Here is a 6,000-nt window from a genome sequence, read left to right as displayed (position 1 = left end):
TATTGCTCAAATCTGCCTCTGAAAATTCAGAGGCTAGAGTTTTGTTTGTTTGTTTTGAGACGGAGTCTTGCTCTGTTGTCCAGGCTGGAGTGCAGTGGTGCGATCTCGGCTCACTGCAACCTCTGCCTCCCGGGTTCAAGTGATTCTTGTGCCTTGGCCTCCCGAGTAGCTGGGACTACAGGCGCCCACCACCATGTCTGATTAATTTTTATATTTTTAGTAGAGATGGGGGTTTTACCAGGTTGGCCAGGCTGGTCTCGAACTCCTGACCTCAGATGATCCACCTGCCTCAGCCTCCCAAAATGCTCAGCTCCCAAAAGGCATGAGCCACCACACCTGGTTCTGAGTCATAATTTATAATCTGTGGCTGATTTGTTAGTTTCACAAAGGCAGTGTGGTCCCCAAGCAAGGAAGGGGTTTGTTTGGGGTAGGGGTTGTTATCATCTTTGTTTCATTGTTGGTTTGTTTTTTTGAGACAGGGTCTTGTCCTGTCATCCAGGCTAGAGCACAGTGGCACGATCTCAGCTTACTGCAACCTCTGCCTCCTGAGTAGCTGGGCCTGCAGTGCGTGCCACTACACCTGGGTAATTTCTGTATTTTTTGTAGAGACAGGGTTTCACCATGTTGCCCAGGCTGCTGTCAAACTCTTGGGCTTAAGTGTTTCACCCGCCTCGGCCACCCAAAGTGTTGGGATTACAGGCGTGAGCCACCGCACCCAGCCTGAAAGTGCTCATTCTTAAAAATAAAAAAATGCATATTAGCAAAAATAAAAATCATTCGTATTCTCCCCAGCCATTGCTAATTTTTTGGAGAACCGCAGCTTTTGGTGGTGGTCAGAATGGAGCTGTCTAAGGGGATACGTTGCTTTTAGACTGAGTACTGTTCTCAAGCTCACAATGGTGCAGTGTCGAATCAAGACGTTAGAGCGTGAAGGGGCTTTTTTTTTTAAGTGGAAGGTTTTTGTTCTTTATGTTTGCTGGCTTCCTTTTCAGAATGAGAATAGGGGCCTTGATGTGTCAAACCAGTTGCTGGTAATTACAAATTACTCCTTTTCTCTAGAAGGCTTTGGGCTTTGTTTAGGTAATTAAGCTGGCAAGTACAATTAACAGGATGTTCCCAGTGCCAGCACACCACCTTCCCGACCCCAAGAATTCTTACAAAGCAAGAAGGGTCCAAAAAGTTAGTTTAAATGAACTGTTAAATGAATTGTTTCATTCATTTTATTCACGTGTTAATCGTATCCACTTACTTTCAAAAGGAGATAGGGATAGCTACAAGACATCTGTGTGACAGAGGCACTAAAACCCTGTCTGTTGGTTGCTGTGAATCTCCTGTTTTTTGGAAAAGTGACCCATTTTAAAGTTCAGGGTGATCACCGGGCACCTGCCACGAGTGACTTCGTTTTGGTCGCTCTGGACTGTTGGGCCTAGTGCAGTACCTTAGTCCAAAACAATGGCCTCCTGTAAATTTTTTTACGCTAGTATAAGGAAGTGAGTCCCTAAAAGACAAGGCTTTTCTCGGGACTAAACTCGAAGAGGACTTTACTACCACCTGTATCTACACAGCGGACACAAAGTCGAAGATCCTCACATTGACCCAATGCCATTTCTGTTTTTCTTTTTCTTTTTCTTTTTGAATTGAGATGGAGTCTTGCTCTGTCGCCCAGGCTAGAGTGCAGGGGCACGATCTCAGCTCACCGCAATCTCCACCTCCTAGGTTCAAGCAATTCTCCTGCCTCAGCCTCCCGAGTAGCTAGGATTACAGGCACCCACCACCACACCCAGCTATTTTTTGTATGTTTAGTAGAGATGGGGTTTTGCCATGTTGGCCAGGCTGGTTTCAAACTCCTGACCTCAGGTGATCCGCCCACCTCTGCCTCCCAAAGCGCTGGGATTGCAGGCGTGAGCCACCGTGCCCGGCCCCAATGCCGTTTCCTTTTTGGCTCTTAGGAAAGGCAAAGAGGGCATTTAAAACTGGGAGTAACCCATAGTAGAATGAGTACACACAGACTTTGAGCCAGAATGCCTGGTTCAAATCCCAGCTTCACCACTTAGTAGCTGTGTGACCTTGGGCTAGCCCCTTAAACTCCCTATAGAACAGGGATGGCAAGAGTTCTTTACTCCCAGAGATGTCGTGACGATTAAATGAGTTGATATGTGCAAAGCGCTTAGAACAGTACCTGGCGTGAGTTAAAAGCTATATGAGTGTTTATTGTTTTAATTGTCTTTTGGCTTATTTCACCCCCCCAAAACATACCCAAAACACTAGAAAATTGCACTAAAATGTGCATATAAGGATACTCATTGCAAAGTTGTTTAGAATAGCCAAAAAAAAAAAAAAAAAAAAAAAGGCTGGGCACAGTGGCTCACACCTGTAATCCCAGCAGTTTGGGAGGCCAAGGCGGGCAGATCACGAGGTCAGGAGTTCGAGACCAGGACCAGCCTGACCAACATGGTGAAACCCCATCTCTATGAAAAATACAAAAATTAGCCCGGCGTGGTGGTGGGCGCCTGTAATCCCAGCTACTTGGGAGGCTGAGGCAGGAGAATCACTTGAACCTGGGAGGCGGAGCTTGCAGTGAGCCGAGATCGTGCCACTGCACTCCAGCCTGGGCAATAGAGAGAGACTCTATCTCAAAAAAAAAAAAAAAAGAAAAAAGAAAAAAAAGAAACTAGACGTCCACAGATAGAGAACTGAATAAACAGTTCATACAGTGGAATACTAGGCAAACATCACAAACGATGATGCAGATGTTAGTTTAGTGATTTGGAAAGACATCCATGCCATATATATATATATATAAATATTTTTGTTTTGTTTTGTTTTGTTTTTTGAGATGGAGTCTTGAAAAAATACACCCAGGCTAGGGTGCAGTGGCGCAATCTCAGCTCACTGCAACCTCTGCCCCCTGGGTTCAAGCAATTCTCCTGCCTCAGCCTCCCGAGTAGCTGGGACTACAGCTGTGCACCACCATGTCCGGCTAATTTTTTTGTATTTTTAGTAGAGACAGGTTTTCACCATGTTGGCCAGGCTGGTCTTGAACTCCTGACCTCAAGTAATCTGCCCACCTCAACCTCCTAAAGTGCTGGGATTACAGGTGTGAGCCACCGCACCTGGACACCAAGCCATATTTTTAAGAAAATTATTTAAAAACAATTTATGTATTGTTGTCCCATTAATTTTCTTTTCTTTTCTTTTCTTTTTTTGAGATGGAGTTTTGCTCGTTGCCCAGGCTGGAGTGCAATGGCGCGATCTTGGCTCACTGCAACCTCTGCCTCCCGCGTTCAAGCGATTCTCCTGCCTCAGCCTTCCTGAGTAGCTGAGATTACAGGCATGCACCACCACACCCGGCTAATTTTGTAAGTTTAGTAGAGACAGGGTTTCCCCATGTTGGTTGGGCTGGTCTCGAACTCCTGACCTCAGGTGATCCACCTGCCTCGGCCTCCCAAAGTGCTGGGATTACAGGCGTGAGCCATTGCGCCCGGCCTTAATTTTCTTTTTCATTTTTTAAATGTTTTGTAGAGACAGGGTCTCATTTTTGTTGCCCAGGCTGGTCTTGAACTCCTGGCCTCAAGAAATCCTCCTGTATTGGCCTCTCAAAGAGCAGGGGTTGAGCCACCATGCGTGGCCATATTTTTTATTTTTTCAGAGCTAGGGTCTTGTTCTGTTACCCAGGCTGGAGTGCAGCTACAGCTTACTGCAGACTTGAGCTCCTGGCCTCAAGTGATCCTCCCACATCAGCCTCCCAAGGTGCTGGGGTTACGGACATGAGCCAACACACCTGGCAATTTTGTTTTCCTGTACTTAGATATATTAATAGAAAAAGGCTGGAAGGATGAATCCAAACAGATGAGGCTCTCTCTCCTAATGGTGGGACTAGTCAGTGTTTTTAAAACTTTTTTTTTTGAGACAAAGTCTTGTTCTGTCGCTCAGGCTGGAGTGCAGTGGAGAGCGATCTCGGCTCACTGCAACCTCCACCTCCTGGGTTCAAGTGATTCTCCTGCCGCAGCCTCCTGAGTAGCTGGGACTACAGGCGTCCGCCACCGCACCCGGCTAATTTTTGTATTTTTCATAGAGATGGGGTTTCACCATGTTGGCCAGGCTTGTCTCGAACTTCTGACTTCAAACGATCCGCCCACCTTGGCCTCCCAAAGTGCCGGGATTACAGGCATGTGCCATCACGCCCAGCCTCCTAAAACATTTTTTTTTTTTTTTTTGCTTCTCTGTATTTTCTAGTTTGCTTCACTACCTATGCATTTCTTGAAAAGTAAGATTTGGGTGACATCACACTGTTTCTGGTGATCTGATTTAATCGTAGAGAAACCAGAGAATTAAATGGTTAGTGTGCCTGTCCCTTAGACCAGGGTCACGAACTGGGAAGAATGAGATTTTCTGCTATTAGCAAGCTAAAAAGTTAGCCTGCTATAATTTCTTTTCATGTTTTTTTTTTTTTTTTTTTTTTTTGAGACGGAGTCTTGCTCTGTTGCCCAGGCTGGAGTGCAATGGCATAATCTCAACTCACTGCAGCCTCCGCCTCCCAAGTTCCAGCGATTCTCCTGCCTCGGCCTCCCGAGTAGCTGGGATTACAGGTGCCAGACACCGTGCCAGGATAGTTTTTGTATTTTTAGTAGAAATGGGGTTTCACCATGTTGGCCAAGCTGGTCTCGAACTCCTGACCTCTTGATCCCCCAACCTCGGCCTCCCAAAGTGCTAGGATTATAGGTGTGAGCCACTGTGCCTGGCCGCCCGCCACAATTTCATGGATGTGAGCTAAAGACAGGAGACTCTGGGGCCAGAGACAAGACAAAGGATGTTTATTAGTCACAGCAAAGCAGTAGCCAGAGTGTTTGCAATTGTCCTGGTTTCCTCAGAATCACTTCCCACAGGGTGACAGGAAGAGGCTCTAGGTGACATGAGGACAGAAGGGCTTACGTTACAGCAGCGGAGCTCTGAGCCCGGGAACCGAGATCTTCTGTCATCATTGAAGCTAATCTGCCCTTTGCTCTGGAGGGAGACACGATCTCTATCTTCCAAGGCTATTCATCCTATGAAAGAGAGTCTGAATCAAAGGTAGCCAGTGGTGACGGGGAGAAACATAAGTAGAGTGAGAATTCCATACGGGGAATTGTGTCCCGACAACCAGAGCCTCTCACGGTGAATGTGCAGGGAGCTACCTGGGACTTTTCTGATACCGTAGGTCTGGTTTGCAGGGAGGACCTGAGAATCCACTAGCAAGGGAGTTTCTTTTTAAAACATTTTGTTAATTTTTTTGAGGGAGTCTTGCTCTGTTGCCCAGGCAGGAGTGCAGTGGCGTGATCTTGGCTTACTGCAGCCTCAACTTCCCAGGCTCAAGCTATCCTCCCACCTCAGCTTCCCACGTAGCTAAGACTATAGGCATGCGCCACCACACCTGGCTGGCCAAAATGTTTATTATTTTTTAGAAACAGAGTCTCGCTCTGTCACCCAGGCTGGAGTGCAGTGGTGTAACCATAGCTCACTGTAACCTTGAGCTCCTGGGCTCAGTTGATCCTCCTGCTTTAGCCTCCTGAGTGGCTGGGAGGGCCAACTATTTTTCTTTTTTTTTGTAGAGACAGATTCTGGCTCTGTTGCCCATGCTGCTCTCTAACTCACGGCCTCAAGTCATCCTCCCACTTCAGCCTTCCAATGTGCTGGGACTACAGGCACGAGCCGCTGTGCACCCCCAACAAGAGAGTTTCTAACAAGCCCCTGTCATGTTGGTTCTTCTGGTCCCAGGACCACATTTTGTGCAGTGCAGCCTTAGGCTCCGGTCCTCAACGGCACGGCGTGGGCAGGAGCTGCAGGCAGAGGCTGCGGAGAGGAGCCCGGAAGCACGGCTCTGGGATGGTGGAAGGAGGCACATGCCTGTCCAGTGACGGTCAGAGGGGATGTCAGTGGTGTCAGAGGCCCAGCTTAGACCATGGACAAACACGCAGTGTGGCCAGGAGGTCTGAGACAATGGGGGCCCTCGGGAGCCCGGGT

At 47.6% G+C, this 6,000-nt stretch overlaps 1 annotated feature.

Moving 5' to 3' along the window:
* Positions 695-1,388: an enhancer, noted in NCBI's record as "OCT4-NANOG hESC enhancer chr17:276928-277621 (GRCh37/hg19 assembly coordinates)". NCBI's record gives its function as "activates a minimal SCP1, AML or CMV promoter by ChIP-STARR-seq in naive and primed H9 embryonic stem cells {active_cell/tissue: H9 hESC(naive and primed)}" and the evidence as "EXISTENCE:reporter gene assay evidence [ECO:0000049][PMID:30033119]".

This window comes from Homo sapiens, chromosome 17 (assembly GCF_000001405.40).
Source record: "Homo sapiens chromosome 17, GRCh38.p14 Primary Assembly".
Lineage (NCBI taxonomy): Eukaryota > Metazoa > Chordata > Mammalia > Primates > Hominidae > Homo > Homo sapiens.
Note: the sequence above shows the minus strand (reverse complement) of the source record. Positions and strands in the feature narration are given on the sequence as shown.